This window comes from Homo sapiens, chromosome 8 (assembly GCF_000001405.40).
Source record: "Homo sapiens chromosome 8, GRCh38.p14 Primary Assembly".
Lineage (NCBI taxonomy): Eukaryota > Metazoa > Chordata > Mammalia > Primates > Hominidae > Homo > Homo sapiens.
The window spans coordinates 53,862,557-53,888,922 of record NC_000008.11 but is presented as its reverse complement, the minus strand read 5'-3'; the positions used below and the strand labels follow the sequence as shown (position 1 = coordinate 53,888,922).

General features: G+C 47.7%; 1 protein-coding gene and 1 pseudogene across 7 annotated transcripts in view, besides 10 other annotated features; one reads left to right on the top strand and one right to left on the bottom strand.

Moving 5' to 3' along the window:
* Positions 1-26,366, bottom strand: part of RGS20 (regulator of G protein signaling 20) — a 107,509-nt gene that overhangs the window by 70,381 nt on the left and 10,762 nt on the right. For 2 of the 7 annotated variants that reach the window (NR_104579.2, NR_104578.2), the window contains exon 1: positions 7,839-7,907. The exons of 3 other annotated variants lie outside the window; for them this stretch is intronic. Coding sequence is in view for 2 of the 4 variants with exons in the window: in NM_170587.4 (NP_733466.1) it covers positions 9,321-9,665 (345 nt within the window). In the remaining 2 variants the exon portion in view is untranslated. Of the gene's footprint in view, positions 1-7,838; positions 8,052-9,320; positions 9,666-26,366 lie in introns of those variants that run through there. 2 more of the 7 variants (NM_170587.4, NM_003702.5) reach the window with 2 other exon arrangements.
* RPS27AP13 (RPS27A pseudogene 13) lies at positions 1,444-1,915 on the top strand (annotated as a pseudogene).
* Positions 4,359-4,408: an enhancer, noted in NCBI's record as "active region_27363". NCBI's record gives its function as "activates an Ori minimal core promoter by ATAC-STARR-seq in GM12878 lymphoblastoid cells {active_cell/tissue: GM12878}" and the evidence as "EXISTENCE:reporter gene assay evidence [ECO:0000049][PMID:35858748]".
* Positions 6,542-6,611: an enhancer, noted in NCBI's record as "active region_27362". NCBI's record gives its function as "activates an Ori minimal core promoter by ATAC-STARR-seq in GM12878 lymphoblastoid cells {active_cell/tissue: GM12878}" and the evidence as "EXISTENCE:reporter gene assay evidence [ECO:0000049][PMID:35858748]".
* Positions 6,889-7,520: an enhancer, noted in NCBI's record as "H3K4me1 hESC enhancer chr8:54793963-54794594 (GRCh37/hg19 assembly coordinates)". NCBI's record gives its function as "activates a minimal SCP1, AML or CMV promoter by ChIP-STARR-seq in naive H9 embryonic stem cells {active_cell/tissue: H9 hESC(naive)}" and the evidence as "EXISTENCE:reporter gene assay evidence [ECO:0000049][PMID:30033119]".
* Positions 7,521-8,152: an enhancer, noted in NCBI's record as "H3K4me1 hESC enhancer chr8:54793331-54793962 (GRCh37/hg19 assembly coordinates)". NCBI's record gives its function as "activates a minimal SCP1, AML or CMV promoter by ChIP-STARR-seq in naive H9 embryonic stem cells {active_cell/tissue: H9 hESC(naive)}" and the evidence as "EXISTENCE:reporter gene assay evidence [ECO:0000049][PMID:30033119]".
* Positions 7,521-8,211: a biological region, named in NCBI's record as "H3K4me1 hESC enhancer GRCh37_chr8:54793331-54793962".
* Positions 8,102-8,211: a silencer, noted in NCBI's record as "silent region_19196". NCBI's record gives its function as "represses an Ori minimal core promoter by ATAC-STARR-seq in GM12878 lymphoblastoid cells {active_cell/tissue: GM12878}" and the evidence as "EXISTENCE:reporter gene assay evidence [ECO:0000049][PMID:35858748]".
* Positions 8,342-8,391: a silencer, noted in NCBI's record as "silent region_19195". NCBI's record gives its function as "represses an Ori minimal core promoter by ATAC-STARR-seq in GM12878 lymphoblastoid cells {active_cell/tissue: GM12878}" and the evidence as "EXISTENCE:reporter gene assay evidence [ECO:0000049][PMID:35858748]".
* Positions 8,472-8,611: a silencer, noted in NCBI's record as "silent region_19194". NCBI's record gives its function as "represses an Ori minimal core promoter by ATAC-STARR-seq in GM12878 lymphoblastoid cells {active_cell/tissue: GM12878}" and the evidence as "EXISTENCE:reporter gene assay evidence [ECO:0000049][PMID:35858748]".
* Positions 8,800-9,094: an enhancer, noted in NCBI's record as "tiled region #5984; HepG2 Activating non-DNase unmatched - State 4:PromP, and K562 Activating DNase unmatched - State 4:PromP". NCBI's record gives its function as "activates a minimal TATA promoter and a strong SV40 promoter by Sharpr-MPRA in HepG2 and K562 cells {active_cell/tissue: HepG2 | K562}" and the evidence as "EXISTENCE:reporter gene assay evidence [ECO:0000049][PMID:27701403]".
* Positions 11,696-12,196: an enhancer, noted in NCBI's record as "H3K4me1 hESC enhancer chr8:54789287-54789787 (GRCh37/hg19 assembly coordinates)". NCBI's record gives its function as "activates a minimal SCP1, AML or CMV promoter by ChIP-STARR-seq in naive H9 embryonic stem cells {active_cell/tissue: H9 hESC(naive)}" and the evidence as "EXISTENCE:reporter gene assay evidence [ECO:0000049][PMID:30033119]".

Below are 26,366 nucleotides of genomic sequence, written 5' to 3'. Positions count from 1 at the left end.
AAAGGAACGCTGCACAGCATTAAAAAATAACAACACGTACAACAACAAATGAATCTCAAAAACATAATGCTGAGCTAAAGAACCAGATGCAAATATTATACACTGTTTAATTACATATGAAGTTTAAAAGCAGGCACAATTGGTATATGGTGAAAAAAGTTATAAAAGTGGTTACCTGTGGGAGTGAGTCCTGAATGGAAGGAAGCGAGACGGAATCTTTGGGAGAGCACGGGGGGCTGAAAATATCCTATATCTTCATCTAGAGCCGTGGTGAGTGATTTTGGCCCCAGAGGACGCTTGGCAATGTCTAGAGACATTTTTGGTCATGGCATCCAGGGAGGGGCGCTACTGCATCATGCAGTGGGTGGAGATCAGGGATACTGCTAAACATCCTACAGGGCAATGGACAGCCCCCCTCAATAAGGAGTTGTTCAACCCCAAATTTCCACAGTGCTGAGGTGAGAAACCCTGATCTAAATGGTGGTTCTGTGGGGGTACACTTACATAAAGTTTACTAAGCTGTACTCTTAAGATGTGTAAACTTTACTGTAAGTTATAACTCAAGTAAATGAAGTTAAAAGCTGTCATAAACCTCACAAAAATACCAAATAGCTCCTCACTGAAACCTAACAAACACAGAAAAACTTTGTTTCAGTTTTAGAAATACTCTAATTCATTAAACAGTCCTAACAACTGAAATTTGCGGGGATTATAGTAGGTCAGGAAGAATTAAACTCTGTATGTAAAGTCCCCCTTAAATGCAAAGAAATATCTATACCTTTCTTTATGGCAGGAGATATATGAATTATATCTGGGTAGTCACTAGAAATAAGTATTTGTAAAAACACAATGAATGTATAATGGAAGACCCCATACATGTAAGATTCTTCTGGAGTCATCAAAAGATGAATAGAGAAAAATATACATATACCTTTTTTTTTTTTAAGTCAGGGTCTCACTCTGTTGCCCAGGCTGGAGGGCAGAGGCAAGATCATGGCCCACTGCAACCTCAGTGTCCCCAGGCTCAGGTGATTCTCCAGCCTCAGCCTCCCAAGTAGCTGGGACTACAGGTGTGCACCACCACACCCAGCTAATTTTTTGCATTTTTTAAAGAGACGGGGTTTCACTATGTTGCCCAGGCTGGTCTGGAACTCCTGGGCTCAAGTGATCCACCCGTCTTGGCCTCCTAAAGTGTGGGAATTACAGGCGTGAGCCACCACGCCTGGCCACATGTACTTTTTAACAGTAGTCTAATCTGAGTTCTCTGGATAATGACTTCCTGTCATTAATTATCAACATGACTTTTATACAAATTAAGAAATCTATGGGCGTGTGCTCTTGGGCTGCTCTCTGGCCAGCACCCTCTCCTGTGTCACCTCTCTTGTGTCCACAGTCTAACCCATCTCTTCATTTCCCTCAACCTCAGGTGGAGCCTCCACCAAAATGCAGATTTTTCCAAAAATCCTTACAGGGACGATCATCACCCTAGAGGTTGAACCCTTGGATACAACAGAAAAATGTAAAGGCCAATATCCAGGATAAGGAACGAATTCCTCCTGATCAGCAAAGACAAGTGACTGGAAGCTGGCAAGTAACTGGAAGATGGACATAACTTTCTCTGACTACAACATTCAAAAGGAATTTACTCTTTTTATGTTGTGTTGAGACTTCATGGTAGTGCTAAAACTAGGAAGAAATCTTACACGACTCCCAAGAATAAGCATAAGAGAAAGAAGGTGAAGTGGGTGTCCTGAAATACTATAAGGTGGATGAAAATGGCAGAATTAGTGGCCTTCGCTGGGAGTGCCCTTCAGATGAATGCGGTGCTGGAGTTTTTATGGCCAGCCACTCTGACAGGCATTATTGTGGCTAATGTTGTCTGATTTATTGCTTCAACAAACCAGAAGACAAGTAATTGTGTATTAGTTAATAAAAGACATGAAAAGAAAGAAAGAAAGAAATCTACGAGTCCCTTAAATCACATTATCACCCCACCCTGAGACATAAAAGTCCATTATAAGGGTGAGGTAAGGAGTAGGTTACATAATTCTTTCCAATGTTGCAAAAATTCAACAGCTGTATAAGTGTTGATTCTAGCCATTCAGCCCTAAAAGGGTTAAAGTCCCCAGTGTCCTTAGTCTAAGAGCAGCAGTACAAACTTGTGCTCCAGCCTTGAACAACCACAATTCAGTCAGCTTCAGAGGGGCACAAATGTAGACAAACCAGATAGCAGGGCGTTCTCCACTCCTTCACTGTTGGACGGAGGTGCACATCGTACAACCCAGCACCTCAGGAAGCCAAGCTATCAGATAACTTTGCATGAGATGCCTTTGCCTAAAACCCAAATGCTCACATGAAAAGGATTTTACACTTTAGAATAAAATAAATGCGTAACTAGAAATTGAGCTTTCAAAATCAAAAAGGTCAACTGGCTTTAATAACTATTGAAATAACTCATGTAAAATATCACTGCTGGGCAACAGAGCATATTACTCATATTTCACAAGTGATTCCCTATGCAAATAGCTAGACTCTAATCAGCTGGATTAGAATCAAGGTAATCTACTCCATGAATTTATAATCATGTAATATTACTCTGAGCACTCAGCCACATCAAACTTGATTGTGAATGGCCTCTCCAAGAGCCCATTCAATTGTACTATGAACTGACTCACTCCAAGCAGCGTCGCCTTAACTCTTGAGCTAGCTGCGCAAAGTAACATTCAGGGACCATCTCAGATGGTGCCGTGTAGTCAGTGACTCCCACTTATTGTACTAAATGCTAAGCTCTGACTCAGAGTGAGCCCTATTAGTTGCTGACTGACACTGTACTTGTTTGAATAGAAGCTCACATTGTGAGTCACCTGGTGGTGCACTGAAAACCAATCTGAAATATTCCCAATTGGACAGTGATTCACATTATAATCATATTGGGACCTAACTTGACACATGTGATTTCAAAACTAAGTTCTGCCAAACTGGCTTGGGAGCATGCTAGAAAGTCACTCCCTTCTTAATGCCCTGTCCTTCTGTCTAAGAACATGTAGTAAGTATCCCAAGATGCAAAGTATTCAAGAGTAGGGTATTCATGCAAGAGGTTTCTTGGAGTCAAAAAAAAAAAAAAAAAAAAAAGAGTAAGATACTCAGTATCCAGTTCACACACTGGAAAAAACCACGGTTTCCTTTTTCAAGGATGCAGGCATAATTCCTAGAAGTACCTCCCCTGGAAGACACACCATCCCTATAAATAACTTTGTAAGACCAGATGTTCACTAGAAAGTCTCTGCCGTATAATTCATTTTTTTTTTTGAGACGGAGTCTCCCTCTGTCGCCCAGACTGGAGTGCAGTGGCGCAATCTCGGGTCACTGCAAGCCCCGCCTCCCAGGTTCATGCCATTCTCCTGCTTCAGCCTCCCGAGTAGCTGGTACTACAGACGCCCGCTAATACGCCCAGCTAATTTTTTGTATTTTTTAGTAGAGACGGGGTTTCACCGCATTAGCCAGGATGGTCTCGATGTCCTGACCTCGTGATCCACCCGCCTCGGCCTCCCAAAGTGCTGGGATTACAGGCGTGAGCCACCGCGCCCGGCCTCTGCTGTATAATTCTTAAACTGTGGATGTGAGGGCTGGACCTTTAAGCCACTATCTGCATCTGTCCATGGAAGGTGAATGTGGTTAGATGCCCACATGCGGAAATAAAAGAACAGCAGGATTTCAGGAATTAATACTTAATGCCTGGAATGAAACCAGTTACAGGCTACTGCATTAAAATAAGAAAGCTTTTCTCTTTTACTCTCGCTAGTCCATAAAATCTAGAATAATAAAATCTCCTTCTGTGTAATTTTGAAGGCGTTTTCTAAAAGGCTTTCTTATAGGAAAGACCTTCAAAGCCAGCTGGAAGGATATTTTAAGAATTCAAGAAAAGCTCAAAAATGATTTCTAAAACTGCTACAGGAGATTAATAGAATATGCAATCAAATGTATACCCAAGTGGGGCCTAAAATGCTAATGCTGGCTCTGACAATAGCTTGATCTGTGACCTTACCTTACCTGAGGCGAGTCATGTGGTCATGTCTTATAATGTGAGGGACCAAGATAAAGCTGTGGGACAACAGTAGCCACGACATGACTGCCTGGTCCTTCTTGGTGCTAGAGATAGCACATGCTCGTACACTTTTTCCTTATTTATACTTTCTATCTGTTAACAGTTCATTAATCCGTAGTAAACAGGAAATCAGCAGTGTGGTGTGTAAGAGCCCTGGGGAATGAGTCAGAAGTCTTCATTCTATTTTGGCCCCTAATTAGCTGGAGATCTCTGGCCCAGACCCTTAACCTCTCTGAATGTTTCCTCATCTGTAAAACGAAGGAGGTAGAATAAGTAACCTGATTTTCATCATTCTGTATTTTTGATATAAGGGGTGTTTCAGCTAAAACGTTTACAGTGATCTCAGACAAGTTAGCACTTCAAGCTCCTAAGGTACATTTTCAGATTCTCTTAAACTGGCTGTTCATCAGCCCTGGCAACACAGCGAGATCCTGTCTCTATAAAAAATTAAAAAATTAGCCAGGTGCGGTGGCAGGCACCTTAAGTCTCAGCTACTCCTGAGGCTGAGGTGGGAGGATCCTTTGAATCTGGGAGTTCAAGGGTGCAGTGGGCCTCAGTCGTGCCACTGCACTCCAGCCTGGGTGAGAGAGTGAGACCCAGCATCAAAAAAAAAAAAAAAAAAAAAAGACTGTTTTTCTAATTTGGATGATGGACATGTGTTTCATTATGCATACTCTTTATAGTATACAAAAATATGCATTCTGTTACTGATCTTATTTATAGTTTGAAGTCTAGCCAATTTAGCATCAATATAATAATAGTAATAACAGCTTTTGCTTGGTATGTGCCATCCCGTTATAAGAGCTCTATGTTATTAATTTACTGAATGCTGTCAGCTAGCACATTAGGTAGATACTCTTTTTTTTTTTTTGAGACGGAGTTTTGCTCTTGTTGCCCAGGCTGGAGTGCAGTGGCTCCATCTCGGCTCACTGCAACCTCTGCCTCCTGAGTTCAAGCAATTCTCCTGCCTCAGCCCCCAGAGTAACTGGGATTACAGGCGCCAGCAACCACACCCGGCTAATTTTTTGTATTTTTAGTAGAGATGGGGTTTCACCATGTTGGCCAGGCTGGCCTAGAACTCCTGACCTCACGTGATCCACCTGCCTCGGCCTCCCAAAGTGCTGAGATTACAGGAGTGAGCCACCGTGCTCTGCTGAGCTGCCGAGGTAGGTGCTCTTATTACCCCCATTTCACAGATGATGAAACTAACGCCCAGAGAGGATAAGTAACTAGTCCAAGTTTATGCAGTTAGGTTGGGATCTGAACCCAGTTACAGAGCTCAAGACTCCCACTGGTTTGGCAACACTGCCTCTCATATGCGTTACTAATACGTGATAAGAAAGATGTCACTTATGGCCAGGCGCAGTGGCTCACTCCTGTAATCCCAGAACTTTGGGAGGCGGAGGCAGGCGGATCACCTGAGGCCGGGAGTTCAAGACCAGCCTGACCAACATGGAGAAACCCCGTCTCCACTAAAAATACAAAAAATTAGCCGGGAGTGGTGGCGCATGCCTGTAATCCCAGCCCCAGCTACTTGGGAGGCTGAGGCAGGAAAATCTCTTGAACCCAGGAGGCGGAGGTTGCAGTGAGCCGAGATCGCGCCATTGCACTCCAGCCTGGGCCACAAGAGCGAAACTCAGTCTCAAAGAAAAAAAAAAAAGAAAGAAAGATGTCACTTAACGAACAGAAGATAAACAGGATGAGACCCCCAAAAAAATTAGGTTTGGAGAAAAAATATTTTAACAAAAATAGTAAATTGCAAACTATGGTTGTGCCAAAAAACTTACAGATAGAGTAATTTCACTAGAAATGTCCTTGTCAAGTTTGGGGCGGAAGTCAGACCGTTTTGCGAATTTGAACATTTGTTTAGTCAATTCCACGGTTTGGAGCCACTAGGGATGAAATGAAGCCAAGCCACGCCAGGGCCCTGCCACTTGTGTCCCAAGGAGGGTGGCTGGAGACTGATGCAGAAGCCCCTTCCTCCCCACACTCCGGGGCAATGAGGAGCCCGCGTGCAGGTGCCTAATTCCGCTAGCCAGTGGGCGAGGGTCCTGCTGGCACCGAGGGCACCAAGGCTGGGGTTTTGACACCAACGAACCCCAGCCAGGTGACTGGGGAACGTGGGGAGTTCGACAAAGAGCGATAGGCTTTTGCCATTTTTTTTTTTTTTTTTTGAGACGGAGTCTTGCTCTGTCGCCCAGGCCGGAGGGCAGTGGCGCGAGCTTTTGCCAAGTTACGAGACGGACAGGAATCGAGGAGATTCCCCTGTAGCGCTCTCCACCTTCCGGACAGAAATCCTGTAGACCACGTTCACTTCTCCACTCCGTGCATCGCCCGTGGCCCGTGGGCAGCAGCTGCTCCCCTGGGATCCCCCTCGCCTGTCCGCGAGCTCTCGCACGGCCGCGTCCCTGCTGCTGGGGTCGCTCGCTGGCCCTGGCTGCTCGCCAGGATTTTCCTTTGATGCTGTCAAGTCCGGGAAGCTCACGATGCACCTCAGTGCCCGCGCGCCGCCTCTCCCAAAGCCCCTTCCCCACTCACTCCCCCACAAGCGTGGAGGGAGATGGGGTAGGTCGCGGCGCCTATAGACCCCCTCCCGGCGCCCACTCTCTCTCTTCCACTTCTCTAGCAGCGGTAGGGCCGCAGCGCACGCAAACCTTTCCCCAAAACGCCCACCCCACTCTCAGCTAGCCGCTTCTCTCAGGGCTCCTCCGCCCGAGCTGGGTGTGGGGATCGCCGCGCACACAGAGACGGGAAAGCCACCCCGGTCCCGGAGCGCCGCTTCCCTAGAGGCCCCTGGCCCGTCCGCTCCCCCAGCGCTGGAGGACAGCCGCGCACACAGACCCTCCCCTCCAACGCCCACCGCGGTCCCCAGCTGCAGCCTGCACCTCCACTTCCCGCCCCCAGTCTCCCGCCCTCCGCCCCCTGCTTTCCAGTCTCCGCAGTCCGGGCGCCCAGACTTGTTTCGACTTCCCAGGGCAGCTCCGAGGGTGCGGAAGATCAAGTGCCCGGGTTTGTTCCAGGAAAATCCCGGCGGCGCCTGCACGTTAACTGCCCTGGCGCAGGCGAAGGGTGGAGGGCACTTCTCTGTTCATTCGGTTTTCAAGAGCGTGAACAGAGGCTCCGAGTGAACGCCCATACCTAGTCGGTCTTCTAGGGTCCACGCGTGGGGCGTCCACTTCCTCACCCTGCCCCTCGGTGCCCCTGCCCTGGTTGCACTTCTCCTAAAAGGAGGCGCTACGATTCCAGGAGGCTCTGTCTCCTTACCCTTCCCAGCGGCGCTCAAACCACCAGCCCCGGGCGCCCAACCCCTTCCTTGTCCTCTCCCTATCCCGTGAGAAAGCCGACGCTTCCACCCGCCTGGTCTTTCCGAAATACGCTTCGGGTGGTCAATGCGATTTCTAGGGTCTAAAGACTAGACTCCCGCGTTCCCCACCAAGACACCGACGCGAAGCCGCAGAGGTGGAATCGCGGACGCCCTGGCAGGCCCGGGACATATTGATCCTGGTGGCGCGATGCCCCTCTTCGCACGCGGACGCACTCGCAGCCCCACTCCCCCAAACTCGCACTGCGGGAAGGAACCCCCGACTCGCACCGGCTCCCGCCCCGCAGCAACGGCGACACCCTGAGGTCCGGACGAGCGGCGCGCCCCTCCCAGCCTCGGCCACTTTCCAGCACGAAGCCTCAGGGCGAGCCCGAGACGAAGAAAGAGAGTTCGAGGAACTGGGATACTCACGAGCCCACCGTCCACCCTGCCGGCCGGGGAGGAAGCCCCGGCCGGCTCGCCTCCGTCCGCCGTGCGCATGCGTCCCGCGGGTGCCTTCTCAATATTGCAGCGCGGAGGGCTGCCCTCTCTACGTCGGCGATTGCTCACCGCGCCTTTCGCCTTTCTCCGGCTCTCGGTCTTTGCTCTAGCCCTCTTCTCCCGGCCTCTTCCTCCCCTTGCTCTGCCTCCTCCCCGCCCCCTCACTCCTTTTACCCGGCCGGGCAATCCCACGTCTCGCCTCCCTCCAGCGGCGGCGCACTCCACCGCCGCGGGTGCTAGGGGTACCCCCGAGGCCCCACGCGGGGCGCGACCTCCACCCCGGCCGCAGCCCCACTGCTCCAGCCCCGCATTAGCAAGTCCCAAGAGTGTGGATGCGAAGCCAGGCGCGCGTAGAGGGCGTCCGCGAAGCCCTCTGTGTCATCGCCTCCCCTCGGCGCGCGGGGCCGAGCGAGACTAGAGTGTGCTGGACTGCGTGCTCGGACCTCGTGAATGAAGGGAGCGGGAGGAAGGAGCGGGGGTGGGCGGCAGGCATGGAGGGGGCGCTTGGTCCCCAGAGCTTCGCGTCTGTGGACTGCGCGTCTCTGGAGGGCAGCCCCCTACCTTCTCCCCGGCCCGGGGCGCCTCTCTGAGCTCTGTCCCCGCCCCACCCCGGCGCAGCCTAGGCCTCCGGTCTTCCCGCCCTGGAAAGCGGCCCTCGCCCCCTCCCAGCTAGCCAGAGCGCGGAGGCCCCACCCAGCAACCGAGCGGGGGATAAGGGGGGGAACTAACCCCTGACTCCAGATCCCGCTGAGACCCTCGGCAGTCGCCCTCCGCGTCCCCTTCTCCAGGGACTCCGGAGTCCGGGGAAAGGAGTAGACCAGGGGGCAGCGGGAGGGGGAACCCAGCCGCCCAGCTCTCCGGACTCGCAGCACCGCGTGTCCCCGTAGCCCGCAGCGTCCCTTCGGGAGTGGGACCCGGTGGGGCCGCGGGGTTAGTTCCCTGGAGCCCGGAGGGCTAAGCTGAAGCTGGAAACTGACCTGACACAAAAATAACATCACGTCATTTCCTCCCTTGCCTGCCGAGAGGGCAGGGGAGTGGGAGAGCGAGCGCTGGGAGCAGGCGGAGGCGCGTTTGGGGGAGGCTCGGAGTAGGCGGAGGAGAGCGACACGCTGAGAGTTTGAAAGGCAGCCTCGGGGAAGAGCGAGGGCTCCCTCCCGTTTTCTTGGACCATGGAAAGGAAATGGCCCAGGAAAAAGTAGCTTGGAGTGTCTTCCCGCGGGGAGGGGCGGTGTCCCGGGAGCCGCCAATGTCCCGTCCTAGGACTTGCCCAGCCACGTCCCGGCCTTCCCGACCTTGCCACCCTCCCTACTGCTAGCCCCAGCGGAGCGGGTCAGTTGGGGTTAGGAAGAATCGGGAGAGGCTGGTGTCCTGGGGAGGCTGGGTGTGGGGCGTAGTGGAGACCACGGTACTCACCGGCATAGGCGAGCTCTGCCCAGCGGTGGCGTCTTCTTCCCTGGGCTTGGCTACCGGATGGGGGGGCCTCAGCGGACGACCCCCCGAGGGTCGGCCGGGCAGTGCCAGCGCCGCCCCGAGCAGGAGCGAGAGGCGGCCCGGCAGCTCCTCGTGCCCCCTCGAGAGCCGGGCGGCCGGCAGGGCGGGAAGCAGGGGGGAGAAGTCCAGGCGCCTCCGGGGAGCCTCGGGAGGGGGTCGCCGGAGAAGGTGAGAGAAGAACCTTGCGAGGCTGGAAAGCGGGCTAGAAAGGAGGCCGAACAGCTTCGGGGCGGCGGGCGAGTCTGGGAGCTGTGCAGGCGGGAAGGACTGGGGTGGGGAGAGAGAAACAAAACCAGCATACGGTTACTGTGGTGTCCGGCCGCTTAGATGGGGCTCTTTACTACAGAATTTTGAAGCGTTACTTTGGGGGTGCAAGAGAAGGTCGGTGAAAGCAGAAGGAAAGGCCTATAGTTAGATTCTTTCCCCTCCCACTCCTGTATTTCCTAACTCCGTGCTACTTGAAGTGTGGTCCGTAGGCCAGCAGCTTCGCCAACACCTAGGAGCTTGTTAGAAATAAAGACTCTTGAGCCCCACCCAGCCAATGCATCGGAATCTGCATGGTAACATTCCCAGGGGACTACCATGCGCGCTGAATGTGACATGCGGTATGCAGAAGGGTCTGTGTTCACATCGCCTGGTTCTTCAGAATTTGGATGAAAATCTTAGTTCACTTTTGTAACTGTTGCTCTTCCCCTCCCTTCTCTGGTCTTCCCTTGTTCCCCCTGCCCTTTCCCATCTCCCTAAGTGCCCAGGGCTCTGCCTGCCAGAGGCACAGAGTTGGCCTTGGCTACTAGATTCTATTGGGATTGTTGTCTATGGAAGGTCCAGATAGTGGCTGAAGGTGGCTGAAGGGCCTCAGACCCTCCACAGGCTGGTTGGAAAAAGGGACTGGCCAGTGCGGCTGTAGGTATGTTGCGTGGAGCTGGGGACACCGGGATTCCATGTTAGGGCTGCTACTACAAGTGAACCCTCTGCAGACCTCCTTTCCAAACTCCATGTGTCCTTCTTATTCCCGGGAACACCGGCCTTTCCACCTTCCACTTGTTGCTTAGGAGACCTAAGCAATGAGATATTTTTTTTCTTTTGGAAAGTGGAGGGAAGCACTAGTTTAGAAGTCAGAAACCCACGGTTCTACACTCAACCTTGCCACTAACTTAATGGCTAACCTTGGGAATGTCTCTTTATTTTTTGAGTTCATTTATAAAGGGGTTGAACTCAGTGGCTTTTTAAGGTCACCTGCCACGTTCAGACTGTCATCTTTGAGACGCTCTTAGTTTCTTGGTACACTAACGTTTAGTGTAGTTACAAACCGGAATGTAGCTCGGCCAATCCAAACACCCCCTCATGCCAAACAAAAAACAATTTAATCTGTCTGTGAAAAACAAGAGCGGTGGTTGCCAAAAAAAATGAAGGTGGAGGCGGGAAGCAGCGAATAAAGTGCTGGGGTGGTGAGGCGCGGGAGGCGAGCGCGGGTGTTCTGGGTTGGGCGTGGGTCCCAGGGGCGCGGCGGCCGCTCTCCAGGGTCCTGAAGGCGGGAGCGGTCGCGAGCGGCCTCGTGGGCCTGGCGCGGTTCCCTCACTCCGCAGTCACCAGGCCCGGCCTGTATTCTTTCGGCGGTGGAAGTCTTGTGGGAAGCGATTGTCAGGAGAGAGGGAAGGAAACCTAGCAACCCATTCTCATTCATGAGGCCCTTTCTGGGAAGCCGCGAGTGCGGTGGCTGATTTGTCTTGCTGTCGTTTGTTTGCTCCTGGGTGAGTTGAACTCGGTTTGCATTTCCGAGTAAGTTCACACTGTTTCACTTCCCCTCATTACCTTTTCCTGGAGAATGGGGTCGTTCTCCCAGTATTTTCATTCTCCTCGTTCAGCTGCTCCCCTCCCCCGCTCTCTGGCAAGGTGCTTTTATTTTAGGGGCTGGAGCTGGGAGCCGAGGAGGCTTCTGGAGAAGCGCCAACAGCTCCCTCGAGGGGGAAAGTGGGCGACTTGGAAATCGGTCTTGGCGCCCAGGGAACGAGCTGCTGAGCGTTCGTCTCGCTCGGGAGGAGGACAGGGGACGCGCCCCTCCGGCTGGGGCTTGGGGTGGAGGCTCAGCTGCCGCCAAGCGTGCTCGGCCTCCGCCGGGCAGCTAGTCCTGGGCGGCACCTGCGGGGGACTGCGGGCCGGCGGCCGCGTCTGCGCCCCACTCCGGAGCGAGGGCCCTCGGCGAGGGCGGGAACTTCGGCGGCCACGGGCGGCAGGGCCGGCGGGACCCCACGCTAAGAAGTCGAGAGAGGACCAGCCGGGTTCCTGGCGACCTAAAGCCTGACTGAGCCCACCCACGGCCTTCCCGACCCTACGCAAGGGCTTGAAAAAAGCCGAAAATGCTGAAAGAGAGCGCCCAGCACTGTTCTGCGACGCACGCCCAACTTCGAGGAGCCCGAGCGAGCTCCAAAGCCTTTCGTGGGTCCCAGAATTTGGCGTCTCCAGCTCATGTTTTCAAATGGTTTTGTGAGAACGTGCGAACTCGTAACCTCCTTTCTCCCTTCGCCCCAGTCCTTCTTCCCAAGTCACTTGCAAGCCCCTGCCCCTTCCTCAGGCACGCTTCATTAGGCATTTTGCTTCGGTCCTGTGCTTCGAGACAGAGACTCTTGTGAGGCAAGTGGTGGAAATGGTCAGACAGAATAAAAGTCCCAAACCTGATCCAAGAAAAACAAGACTCGGCTCCTTTGCTCCTCTGGAGACAGTCACCGCTTGCCGGCCCCACACTGGCCTCCGGATCAGCCGCCTGCTCCCCTGCTACTCTGAAGCCACCGCGAGCCTGGCGCGGGACCCAGCGGCTTCTCCAGTTAGGGGAGGGGATGAGGGTGAATCAAGCAAGGTGTGGGGCGCTGGAATCCTTCCGAACTTCTGGCAAGGACAGAGCCGAAGAGTATCAATGTAGCCAAAAAATTCGATCTGAGAAAAGTTATCTGCAGAAAGACCTTCAGCTGCCCGAAGGGCTGCACTTCAGAGAGCCTTGTCCTCCTTTTAGGCCAGATTCTATTTGACAGTCTGAGGACTGTCAAAAAATAGCCACAAAATGGAATCATCAGTACCGTATTCCTGGAAGCACTGGTCCTTAGGGATCCAGAATACTTGGGGAATACTTTATTCTGATTGAACCACCACTTCCCTAATCAATCATGTTGGCTACTGAACAGCAACCAGAGTGCCTTTATGCAGACGAAAATCGCCACAGCCTAAATCCGTATGAACAATGTCTTGCCCATTTCAAATGGAAGGTTTTCATTCATGCTTAAATAGCAGCATTTCATAAAGGAAATATCCATAGCAGAATAAATGACTCCTGTACCAAAAATTTCTGAGACTCTTTAGAATTAAAGTCACAGTTCAAATAGAATTTGAAGTTAGTTTTATGAAATGACCTATTTTCTCCTGAACTTTATTTTTAAGTTCCACTTTGCTGTAGTTTAGTCACATTATACATTTTAACTTTCTGTTATTTGGAAATGTAATTCTTCCACTTGGATGGAAGAATCTAGCTGACAGTGAAAACTATAAAGGCAAATCTTTCCCTGCATTGACCATAAATTATGCAGATTGAAAGGTGGCAATATAAATAAGCTAACAGATCCTGGCTATTAGAGTCACAGGTTAATATTAACTTGAGGTGAACCCAACTCTTCATAATATGTTTCTATTATTAAGGTTCCTTCAGAATCTTAATGTTCCTTGTGAACATACAACTCTTAAAAAGAATATTTCTGCAGCTCATAATCAGTTCTGACTTGTTCCATTCTTTTAATAACTTTTAAAATGTATTTATGCCTAAGGCTTACATGGAGATGTCATAAGGAAATGTTGTGTAATGGAGGCAATGATAACGAGGGAGGAGGGGCTGGAAAGGGAAGTGGAGTGGGCCAGAAATGAGAGCTACTTAGATGACTTGTATGTCTAGAGAAGGGAAACACTCAAAGGCTCTGTCTGCCTTGCTTCTGCAGAGATAACTGGGTCCTCTGTTCTCGCCATAGGTATTACTAGCCAAGTAAGGGACTTAGGGTAGGAGATGGTGTTTTTTAGTTTTTTTGGTTTTTTTGGTTTTTTTTTTTTTTTTTTTTTGACAGAGTCTTATTCTGCTGCCCAGGCTGGAGTACAGTGGTGTGATCTCGGCTCACTGCAACCTCCACCTCCTGGGTTCAAGCGATTCTCCTGCCTCAGCCTCCTTAGTAGCTGGGACTACAGGCATGTGCCACCATGCCCAGCTAATTTTTGTATTTTTAGTAGAGATGGGGTTTCACCATGTTGGCCAGGCTGATCTCAAACTTCTGACCTCATGTAATCCTCCCACCTTGGCCTCACAAAGTGGTGGGATTATAGGTGTGAGCCACCATGCCCTGCTGGAGATGGTGCTTTGAAAACTTATTACATAAAAAACTGAACCCTTGTTATTCTTCTCCGAGCTTTCTCCTCTTGCAGTCTTCACCAGCTCAGCAAATGGGAAGTTTAACTATTTTTGTTCAGGCGAAAAACATCATTGGAGTATCCCAGACTCTCTTTTTAAAATTCTCTGGCCAAATCCAACTACTTCATATTCACAGCTGTTACCCTGTGTTATAGGTTGACTTGCACCTCCCAAAATTTACATATTAAAATTCTAGTCCCTAGTACCTTGGAATATGACCTTACTTGGAAATAGCATTGCAGCAGATGTAATTAGTAAGATGAAGGACACCCTATTCCAGTATGACTGGTGTCCTTATACAAAGGGGAAATTTCGACACAGATATACACACAGAGAGAATGCCATGTAAGGCAGAAATTGGGTTGATGCATCCACTGCCCAAGAAATGCCAGAGATTGACAGCAAACCACCAGAGGCTAAGAAGAGGCATGGAGTAGATTCTACCTCAAAAGGAATTTGGCCTCAAGATTGCAACATGGAAACGCTGACTGAGTTTCCAACTGTTCTGTCCTGTCCTGTGGACTTCAGAATGAAGACTGCAACATCAGCTCTTACTTGAATTTCCAGCCTGCTGGCTTGCCCTACAGATTTCAGACTTGACACCCTCCACAATTACATGAGCCAATTCCTTAAAGTATATCTCTCCCCATGTAACACACAGATGCACGCAAGCACACGCGCGCGCACACACACACACACACACACACACACACACACACCCCTTATTGCTTCTGATTCTCTGGGGAACCTTGACTAATGCACACCTTTCACTGATCTTTCTCCTTCCGTTTGCCATATTTCCTGTCATAGTCTCATCTCAACACCGAAGCCAAAGTTATCCTTCAAAACAGTTATCCTTGAAAATGTCACTCTACAGGTGCAGACTTTCTTTCTTTTTTCTTTTTTCTGAGACGGAGTCTTGCTTTGTTGGATCACCGGGCTCACTGCAGCCTCTACCGCCTGGCTTCAAGCAATTCTTATGCCTCAGCCTCCCTAGTAGCTGGGATTACAGGTGTGTGCCATGACGCCCAACTAATTTTTTGTATTTTTAGTAGAGACAGGGTTTCATCATGTTGGCCAGGCTGGTCTTGAACTCCTGTTCTCAAGTGATCCACTCTCCTCGGCCTCCTAAAGGGCTGGGATTACAGGTGTGAGCCACTGCACCCATCCCGGCTCCAGACTTTCTATTGACTTCTCATTTCAGAGTAAAATCCAAAATCCTTACTCTAGTTCTCAAGGAACTACGTGAATGATTCCACTCTGCCTTTGAGATCTCTTCTTCCTCTACAGTTCCTCTCTGCAATACAGTTTTTTTTCTATAGCACTTGTCACCATCTGACATAGTATATATTCACTTGTTTATTTGTAAGAACTAAGCAATAATTTTGTCTCTTTCACTTATTGCTCCCTCCATAGAATCTAGAAAAGTGCTTGGGTGGATAAACTACTCAATTAATATTTGTTGGATAGATGAATTAAAAACAAACTCAAATATCATTCAGCCATAAAAAGGAGTGGAATTCTGATATATGCTATGACATAGATGAACCTTAAAAACATGATGTTAAGTGAAAGATGACAGACACAAAAGGACAAATATTGTATGATTCCATTTATATGAGGTGCCAAGAATAGACAAATTCAAAGAGACAGAAAATAGAATAGAGGTTACTAGAGGCTGAGAAGAGGGGAGAATGGGGAGTGATTGTTTGGTGGATACATAATTTCTGTTTGAGACGTGTATCAGGCCATTCTTGCATTGCTATAAAGAAATACCTGAGACTGGGTCATTTATCAAGAAAAGCAATTTAATTGGTTCATGGTTCTGCAGGCTGTACAGGAAGCATGGCACTGGCATTTGTCCAGCTTTTGGAGAGGTCTAAGGGAGGTTTTATTCATGGTAGATGACGAAGTGGGAGCAGGCCTGTCACATGGCAAGAGGGGGAGCAATAAATAGAGTAGAGGAGGGAAGTACTACATGTTTTTAAACAACCAGATCTCCTGATAACTCACTTACTATCATGAGGACAGCACCCAGCCACGAGGGATTTGCCCTCGTGACTCAATCGCCTCCTACCAGGTCATGCCTCCAACACTGGGGATTACAATTCCACATGAGATTTAGAGGAGACAACATCTGAACTACATCAGGAAGATAAAAGAGTTCTGGAAATAGATAGTGCCATTGAATTGTATGCCTAAAATGGTGAATTTTATGTTGTTTATATTTTACTAAATTAAAAAAAAACCCTCAAGATGTGAGCTGAGAGGCGCCCAAGAAGTCCATTCAGGGAGGAAGGACGGCAGAGTTAATTACTCTTTATTCTCTCATTGAGTTTGCAGCTATCTCTTGGGGTTCTCTCACTTGATTTCTGCTGCTGCCACTCAAAGTGCTTGTAAGAGAGACATTGCCTAGTCTCATTCTGCTCCTAGCATTTGATGGAACATATATTGTGACATGGGGGAGTAGAAAGAGAACAGCGGAAACAGAAACCAGACGAGGAAGGGTCTTGTAAGCCACTCACTTACTCATTCTTTCAACAAACATTTATTGTGTGTCTCCTGTGTATGAGGTACTGTCCTAGATGCTTGGGATTCCATGAATGAGAAAGAGCATGACCTGCTCTCATGGTGTGGTGAATGGGAGGGTATTAAGGGTCCATATAGCCTGAATAAGGGCAACCAAATCATGGTAAGGATTTTGGATTTTATTGTAAAAGCAATGGGAAATCATTGAGAGGTTTTTCAGCAAGAGAGACATCTAGTTTATATCTTTAAAGACTGCTTTGGCTGCTGAGTATTGGAGTGAATTGGGGAGGGGGCAAGGGTAGGAATAAGAAAGAAGATGATGACTTGGACAGGTCATGTAAATAAAAACATAAATAAATGGACAGGTTTGGCAGAAGTTTTAAAGATTGAATTAACAGGACTTCAGATGGATTGTAAGTGCAGGCTGAGAAAAAAGGAATCAAAGATAATTCCTAGTGTTTTTTTACTTGAGCAGTTGAATGGCTTACTGAAAGGAGAGGACTAGGGAGGAAAATCAAGAATCCTGCTAAAGACAGATTTTTGAGATGCCTATGAGTCATTCAAATGGAGATGTCAGACAGGTTGATGTAAAAGAGGCTTGAGCTTAGGGTAGGGAGGTCTGGGTGGGAGTCTAGGAGATGTGAATTTGGAAGCACTAGCATACAAAGGTATTTAAAGCTACTGGAATTGGATAGGATCCCTAGAGACCAGGAAACAGAGGGAGAGTCAGAGAGATAGAAGACTGAATCAATTTAAGGAGTTTGAACCATATCTAGGTGGAAAAGGGTATCCCTTGACAACATTTAGTCAGGAAGTCAACACAATCATGTGTGTGTTTTTGAAAGATCTCTCTGTCCTCTAGTGTTATTTAGAAGCAGGCATCACTGGAAAGGAGACCAGGGACAAGCTGTTGTAATTATTATTATTATTATTTTTTTTTTGAGATGGACTCTCACTCTGTCACCCAAGCTGGAGTGCAGTGGCATGATCTCAACTCACTGCAACCTCTGCCTCTCAGGGTCAAGCGATTCTCCTGCCTCAGCTTCCTAAGTAGGTGGGATTACAGACACCAGCCACCAAGCCCAGCTAATTTTTGTGTTTTTAGTAGAGACAGGGTTTCACCAAAGTGCTGGGATTACAGGTGTAACCCACCGTGCCTGGCCTGCAATAATGTTTTGAGAAGTGATTGTGACTTGATCCAGGAAAGTTTTAAATGGGTTGGAACTAAATGAACAGATCAAGGGATAATTCTGAGTAGTGTGGTCAAAATTTGAGGATTGACTGGAGGTTCAAATGAGGACAAAAGCAAGGTCAAGAATTATACCTCCAAGTTTCTAGGTTGAAAGGGAACCATTTGCTGGATAGAAAACTCAGGAAAAGAAGAGTCTGGGGAAAGGGGAAAACATATTGCTAATCTTTTTTTTTTTTTTTTTTTTTTTTTTTTTGTGAGATGGAGTCTCACTCTGTCACCCAGGCTGGAATACAGTGGCACGATCTTGGCTCACTGCAACCTCTGCCACCCGGCTTCAAGCAATTCTCCTGTCTCAGCCTCCTGAGTAGCTGGGGTTACAGGCTCCTGCCGCCACACCTGGCTAATTTTTGTAGTTTTAGTAGAGACACAGTTTCTCCATCTTGGCCAGGCTGGTCTTGAACTCCTGAGCTCGTGAACCACCTACCTCAGCCTCCCAAAGTGCTGGGATTACAGGTGTGAGTCACCGCACCTGGCCTATATTGCTAATTTTGAAGTGCTGCTAGACATTTATATCTCGACACTTAGCATATATTTGCAGCTTCTGTGTGGACCTCAGGAGACAAAGCTGAGTGGAATCATCAGTCCACAGGCTGTCTCAAAGCCACCGACACAGCCAAGCTTAGCCAGGGAGAATGAGTCAAGTGAAATGAGAAAAAGACCAAGGAGGAAAGCCTAGAAAATTCCTGGTATTTCAAAGTCAACAAAGGAAGGGGAAATTTCAAATGAGGCTGATGAAGTGCAGCTCAAGAAGTTGAAGAAAAACAAGATAAAAGGGACACCATCTATAATGTTCCTAATACTGTTCCAAAGATGCATTATTTATTCCATACGATAATGATGCATGCAGGCATTAGTCTCATATGCACTTTACAGAAGACTGTAAAGACTTCAGAAACTCATAAAGGTGAAAAAACTTGCCCAATGAATCGTATCTAGAAAATAGCAGAGCAGGTTTGAAGAATTATAAACAAACTCTAGTCTAGCTGGTGTCTAACTCTTTGTTCCTTGTAAAGGGAATGAGATGTGTGTGTGTGTGTGTGTGTACACACATATCTGTGTATACATAGACTATCTCTGTAAGGATGCATAGAGCTTAGGAGCTGAAAAAAGTGAAGAGTGGTTTGGTGCCTTGGGTGAGAGAATGGTGGTTGGAAAAGGTGGGATGGAGACTGACTATACTGTATATATTTTATTCTTTATATTGTTGTAATAAAGAGTCTGTGACACAGAATCCATTTTTTTTAAATGTTTGGCCATTGGCAGCTTCTAGTTACCATCACTCCTACTCCCCCATCTGCCCAACATCTGGGTAAGCTGACACAAAAGCACAGGTGCTCCCTCCTTGGGCAGCACCTGCAGGAAGTTCAAACCACACAAGTCCTGGCCATTGCAAAGGAGAACCCTCCACTCAGTCCCACTATGAACCCCAAGCCACGCTCCTTTCTCTGCTCTCTTGGCCAATTTTGGGCCTGCTTGTGGTCCTGCCCTGTTCTGCTCAGAGGGCCTCAATATGTGATCAATAAACCTTTCCATGTTCTCTTGGTGTGTGTAGCCTACCGGTCCTGACAACTGTAAAGCTGTGCTATTTTAATTTTGTGTTGTTTTGGTTTTTTGTTTGTTTGTTTTGAGACTGAGTCTCTCTTGTGCTATCACCTAGGCTGGAGTGTAGTGGCGTGATCTTGGCTCGCCGCAACCTCCAAATCCCAGGTTCAAGCGATTCTCCTGCCTCAGCCTCCCGAGTAGCTGGGACTACAGGCACCTGCCAGCATGCCCGGCTAATTTTTGTGTTTTTAGTAGAGACAGGGTTTCACCATGTTGGCCAGGCTGGTCTCGAACTCCTGACCTCAAGTGATCTGCTCACCTCAGCCTATCAAAATGCTGGGATTACAGACGTAAGCCATCGCACCCAGCCCCTATTTTAATTTTGAATGTTCTAATAAATAAATGTGAATTAACTAAACAACATTTTAAATGACAGGAATATAAAGAGTCCATGTGCCAAAGTCCTAAGATTCCAAGATCTACCTGTGCTTTCTCCCCACTTTTTATATTTGCTAGCTAACTAAAAAGAAAAACAAACATGAAATAAACTAAAGCTCCTGCTTCTTTTCTTGTAGCATTCTATATCCCCAAAGAGTAGGACAGGAATTGTTACATTTGATATCAGAAAATTGAAAAGAAACATTTAAAACTCACTTTTGAAGTTTTAGAATGTTTTTCTGGGATCCCCAGCTCTATAAAAATTGTATTTGTTTCCAGGCGCGGTGGCTCATGCCTATAATCTCAGCACTTTGGGAGGCTGAGGTGGGCAGATCACCTGAGGTCAGGAGTTCAAGACCAGCCTGGCCAACATGGTGAAACCCCTTCTCTACTAAAAATACAGAAATTAGCCAGGCGTGGTGGTGCGTACCTGTAATCCCAGCTACTTGGGAGACTGAGGCAGAATAATTGCTTGAACCTGGGAGGTGGAAGTTGCAGTGAGTTGAGATCGCCCCACTGCACTTCAACATGGGTAACAGAGGGAGACTCTGTCTCAAAAAAAAAAATGCATTTGTCCAAACTGCTATATTTTCTTATCATGGAGGTTTACAATTTTAAAAATTCAGTGAGTATATCTATATCTAATATAGACATACATATATATATATATATTTACCAGTGAAGCTATTCCTAGAGAATAGTAGAACCCTATAAAAACACATTTTGTATACTTATCTTTATTATAAGAATATTGACTTTTTTTTACCCTGAGGTATACACATTTATAAAATGTTCCTATAAACGTTATATCAATAACTACTCCCTCCTGCCCCCAGCTATTCGATGAGTAAACTGCAGACCAGTGAGGCCGGATGATTTCTGTTAGCGTGAGTAAGTAGTAGAACTGGCTCCCCAGACCCACCTCCTGGCTGTCACGCTCCTTGACACCATATCCAGGAGACATAGTCATTGTTAACTGATGCTGATGACTGTAATCTATGAGAGTGATATTCTTGGTTCATATTCTCCCAATGCCTATTTATGATAGTTTCTAGGAGTAATTAAGTACTTTTGACCACATTCATCATCTTAGACCAAAATTTAAATTTGTCATCCTCTCACCCTCAGCAAATAGGAATTCAATGACTAATTACTAATCCCATATTTCCAAGCCTACACAGGAGGTTGAATTACTGACTTGAACTCTGTAGGTACTAGCTCAGTTAGTCACATGGCTGCTAATTCTCCACTTTACTTAGTAAATTGATTAGTTCTCTGAATAATACAAAAATAATAAAAAGAATGACCCAGCTTTGGCAAGGCCTATAATCTCAGCACTTTGGGAGGCTGAGGTGGGCAGATCTTTTGAGCAGAGGCATTTGAGACCAGCCTGGGCAATGTGGCAAAACCCCGGCTCTACAAAAAATACAAAAAAATTAGACAGGTGTGGTGGCGTGTGCCTGTAGTCCCAGCTACCCGGGAGACTGAGATAGGAGAATCACCTGAGCCTAGGAGGTTTAGGCTGCAGTTAGCTGGGATCACACCACTGCACTGGTGATCGGAGACCCTGTCTTGGGGAAAAGAAAGAAGGAAAGAAAGAAAGAAGGAAAGAAACAAAGAAAGGAAGGAAGGAAGGAAGGAAGGAAGGAAGGAAGGAAGGAAGGAAGACTACTTCCGTAATGGTTGGATTTACCTAAGATTTGGAAACAGTGTTTTAGATACCAACAGGGCATTAGAAATGACAGACGCCCCTGACATTTTACACAGTAAAGAGTGCACACCAAAATGAAGATATTAGCAGGATCTGCGTCAAGTAATGCCAGACACCTTTGATAAATTAAATCCATGGAGTACAGAATATTGTTAGTCTGTAAAACAAGTCAACAAGGTTCATACTGTCATATTTCATCCTAAGGTTTTTTGAAGATGGATGTTAGTAGCCATGAGAAATGAAAAACCCTCTCATCCAAATCCCAAGAGCTGGTGGAAGCAAATGCAGGCATGAAAAATGTAGCATGAGAAACGTAGGGGATGGAGTTGCTCAGAATATTTTTTTTAAAAAACAACTTCTCTTTTTTGAGTGGCATAAGAGATAAATTTCACACTGCCACCATTTGAGTTGTCACGTTTTCCCAGGCTCTGCCGCTCTCCTGAGGCACTGGTGAAATGAAGGGAGACAGTTGGCTAAAGCACAGAGCGATGGAGGAAGGGTCAGGAGAGGGAGACATGACCACAAGTTTCCTTTGTGACTTTGGATCCATCTCTGTACTCGCCTGGGCCTCAGTTTCCTCATCTGTGCCGAAGATGGTCTCTAGGGCTTCTAGCCGAGCCTACGTTTGGGTTCAGCATGGGGCCCATTCTCTGATACGTAATCAGTCTCCAATGCCCTCTCTTAGGACACACACACGTCCAAACCCCAAACCTTCCACCTTACAGAGGAAGCAGAGCATAATCCCCAGCGAGAGCCAACCTGCCTCCCCAAGCATGCACTTCTCAACATCCCCACAGTTACTTCCCAGCTCTCTTAATTAAATTATAGTGGCCTCCTTAACAGTTCCAGCCTTTGCACCTACACGGCGCCTCTGCCCACCCCACTCCATTCCCCACGTTACAGATGAGGGATCTTTCTAAAAGGTAAATGTGAGGCTGGGCTAAGTAGCTCAAGCCTGTAATCCCAGAACTTTGAGAGGCCGAGGCAGGTGGATCACCTAAGGTCAGGAGTTCAAGACCAGTCTGGCCAAAATGGTGAAACCCCGTCTCTACTAAAAATACAAAAATTAGCCAGGCGTGTGATGGTGGGTGCCTCCTGTAATCCCAGCTACTTGGGAGGCTGAGGCAGGAGAATTGCTTGAACCTGGGAGGCGGAGGTTGCAGTGAGCCGAGATTGTGCCACTGCACTCTAGCCTGGGTGACAGAGCAAGACTCAAAAAAAAAAAAAGAGGTAAATGTGTCCTTCTCTTCCCTTCCTTTTAGCCTCACAGGGGCTCATCATTTCTCTGCAGGATGAAGTTCAAGTGACTTCACATGGCATAGAAGACCTTCTGCGATTTGCTGATGTGTACTCTGTCTACCCATCTTTCTGTCACCTATTCCTTGGTACTCAAAGCACCATACATTCATGTTCCTTCCGTTCCTAAAATTTCCTTGTTCATTCTCATTCCTGGGACTTTGTGTCAGCTGCTGCTTCTGCCTGAATCACTCCCCTCTCCAGTTACCTCTTCTTCTCTCCCAGGGCAATCTCCTCTCCTATTTATCCTTCAAGTCTCAGCTTAGATGCCATTTCCCTCAGGAAGCTCTCTCACGTTGGGGTTGCCTGCATGCTCTGTATTGTGATAGTCTGTTTTCCCATCAGGCTCTGAGCTCTGTGAGCCTCAGGACTTTGCAATATTCAGACCTGTGTCTCAAAACCCTAAGCAGTTGGCCAGGCACAATGGTTCATGCCTGTAATCCAGTACTTTGGAACATTGAGGCAGGTAGATCACTTGAGGCCAGGAGTTCAAGACCAGCCTGGCCAAAACAGAGAAGCCCCATCTCCACTAAAAATGGATAAAATTAGCTGGGCATGGTGGTGCACACCTGTCATCTCAGCTACTCAGGAGGCTGAGGCATGAGAACAGCTTGAGCCCAGGAGGCAGAGGTTGCAGTGAGCTGAGATCACACCGCTGCATGCCAGCCTGGGCGAGAGGGCAAACTCTGTCTCAAAAACAAACAAACAAACAAAAAACCCCCACAAAAAAACCTAAGCAGTACTGGGATATAACATGTACTTAATGAATATCTGTTAAATGAATGAACTTTGAAATGTCATGATCTGGAGTTGATAATTGTTGAAGCTGGGTAATGGGCACATACGGTTTTATTATGCTATTATGTCTAACACTTTTGTAATAAAAATGTTTTTTGATAGATGTGGTTTTACATTTCTAAACAATGCATCTCATCTCTTTCTCAATTACAGAGGCGAGAAACTGTGGGATAGAGGCTGCAGCAATTGCATGAGTAGACCCTGAAGGTATGAGGTTTGTTAAAATGGATGTTCAGAGAAGGCCTGACACAAGAGGGCCACTCCATTTGTCCCCACGGACCTGGGCCGGATCTCTCAATTTCACACTGATGGAGCCTGAAAATCAACAAACAAGACGGCAAGAACAGGGAAGACATTGTTCTCTCCAAAGTGGACAATTTGTGACAGGCCCAGGAAGGCTGCCTGGGCTTTATAGCTTTTCCAGTGGTTCCTAATAAACCAGGCTTTGTGTGAGCCTCGTTCAGGCCATGCGGGGCCCTGTCGTTCTAAGGCTTTCTCCCTCCTCTGGCCTGGCTGCTGGGAGAACTTGTTAGCGGGCATTGATTTCTTTGAGTTGGACGCGACTGAATTAGACTGCTTTGCTTGGCATTTTAAAGGGGATGTTTTCTTGGGGAAGTTGGAGGTTGGCACTGCCTTGATATGAAACATTTTAGGGGCCATTCAGAATTCTTAACTGTCATTAATTTCTTTCAGGGCATATGAAACATTTGTCTGAAGAAAGATTTTAACAATTTCAGTTTGAAGACATCAAGAAATACCATATGATCTCTGACCTTAATCAGATGAAATCTTGTTTCATCCACATGGTGGAAAAAAATTAGGGAAATAATGCATTTCTATATCTACTAATCAACTGGCCAATCAATATTAACTGGGCTCTTACTCTGTGCCCACTATGTACGAGGTCCATCTGCAGATGGAGATAACTAGATTAACAACTATTATGGGAGAAACTGGCTACAAACCCAGCCCATAGGATTCCAAGGGGTTCCCGGGAGGCAGCACAGGGCTAATGGAAAGCTGGACTCACCGATGCAGGCTTTTAAAAGAAAAACTCAAAGTATCTGAGTTTTTTTTTTTTTTTTTTTTTCATGGAGTCTTGCTCTATCGCCAGGCTGGAGTGCAATGGCACAATCTCAGCTCACTGCAACCTCCAACTCCTGGGTTCAAGCTATTCTCCTGCCTCAGCCTCCCGAGTAGCTGGGATTACAGGCACCCGCCATCATGCCCAGCTGATTTTTTTTTTGTATTTTTGTAGAGACGGGGTTTCACCATGTTGGCCAGGCTGGTCTTGAACTCCTGATCGACCTCAAGTGATCCACCTGCCTTGGCCTCCCAAAGTGCTGGGATTACAGGTGTGAGCCACCATGATCTGAGTTTTTTAAAAAAGCCCATGTCTTTATAGTTTACCAGCATTTTTACATGCCTTGTCTCATTTGATTTTTTCAAAGCAACCATTCAAATTGAATGTGAAAAGTATTATTGTCTTGATTTTATAGAAGATAAAATGTCATGCCTGTAATCCCACCACTTTGGGAGGCCGAGGAAGGCAGATCACGAGGTCAGGAGATTGAGACCATCCTGGCTAACATGGTGAAACCCTGTCTCTACTAAAAATACATACAAATTAGCTGGGTGTGGTGGCATGAGCCTGTAGTCCCAGGTACTTGGGAGGCTGAGACAGGAGAATTGCTTGAACCGGGGAAGCAGAGGTTGCAGTGAGCCGAGTTGGCGCCATTGCACTCCAGCCTGGGTGGCAAAGTGAGACTCTGCCAAAAAAAAAAAAAAAAAAAGATAAAACAAAGACTCAGAGAATGAAATACAACTTAGACCTGAATTCAAAAACCAATTCTTGGCATTTCAAAGACATTGCCCTTTATGTCATCATCTTGCTTGGTGGCAGGGTGTACCTGTGTCAGCCAAAAGGGTGATATCACTGAGCTTTTCACTTGGTAAAAAAGGACATCTTCAAGTACTCAGACTTCAGTTAGTTACAACTGAGCCTCAAGTCGCACTGGTTCGAAGTGCTGCAGTGCTTGGATTTCCACCAGATGTCACCATTTGCCATTGTTCTACTCCCTGCCTTTAAAAAGCATTAGCAAAGAAGAGCCCATCTGCTCTTGGGCCCCTGAGAATGCTTATTGCATCTGGGAGTGAGGTGGAGGGCTGTATTCCAAGAAGGGAGCAATGAGCTCTGAATCTTGACTCAGGGAGAAGGAATTTGAAAATGTCATGGCCGGGCGCTGTGGCTCGCACCTGTAATCCCAACACTTTGGGAGGCCGAGGCGGGCGGATCACCTGAGGTCCGGAGTTTGAGACCAGCCTGACCAACATGGAGAGACCCCGTCTCTACTAAAAATACAAAATTAGCCGGGCATGGTGGCACATGCCTGTAATCCCAGCTACTCGGGAGGCTGAGGCAGGAGAATCCCTTGAACTGGGAGGCAGAGGTTGCGGTGAGCCGAGATCGTGCCATTGTACTCCAGCCTGAGAAACAAGAGCGAAACTCCATCTCAAAAACAAAAGAAAAGAAAAGAAAAGAAAATGTCATGAGCTCTCTGGTTCCCGATTTCCTAAAACCCAAAGGCATTATTTCCCCCTCCCCTTGTGATTTCGTGTATCTAAAAACCCAGCCCATTTCTGATGGATAAACCAAGCAGAACTATAACCTGGCTTTTGGCCAAAACAACTTAGAAAAGGAGGAGATTTTCTTTTCTTTTTAGAGATAGGGTCTCACTCCATCACTCAGGCTGGAGTGTAGTGGCATGATCATAGCTCACTGCAGTCTCTAACTCCTGGGCTCAAGCAATCCTCATGCCTCAGCCTCCTGAGTAGCTAGGACTTAGGGGCATGTGCCACTCACCCAGCTAATTTTTAAATTTTCTTGTGGAGACTGGATCTCTCTTTGTTGTCCAGGCTGGCCCCAAACTACTGGCCTCCTAAAGTGCTGGCATTACAGGGATG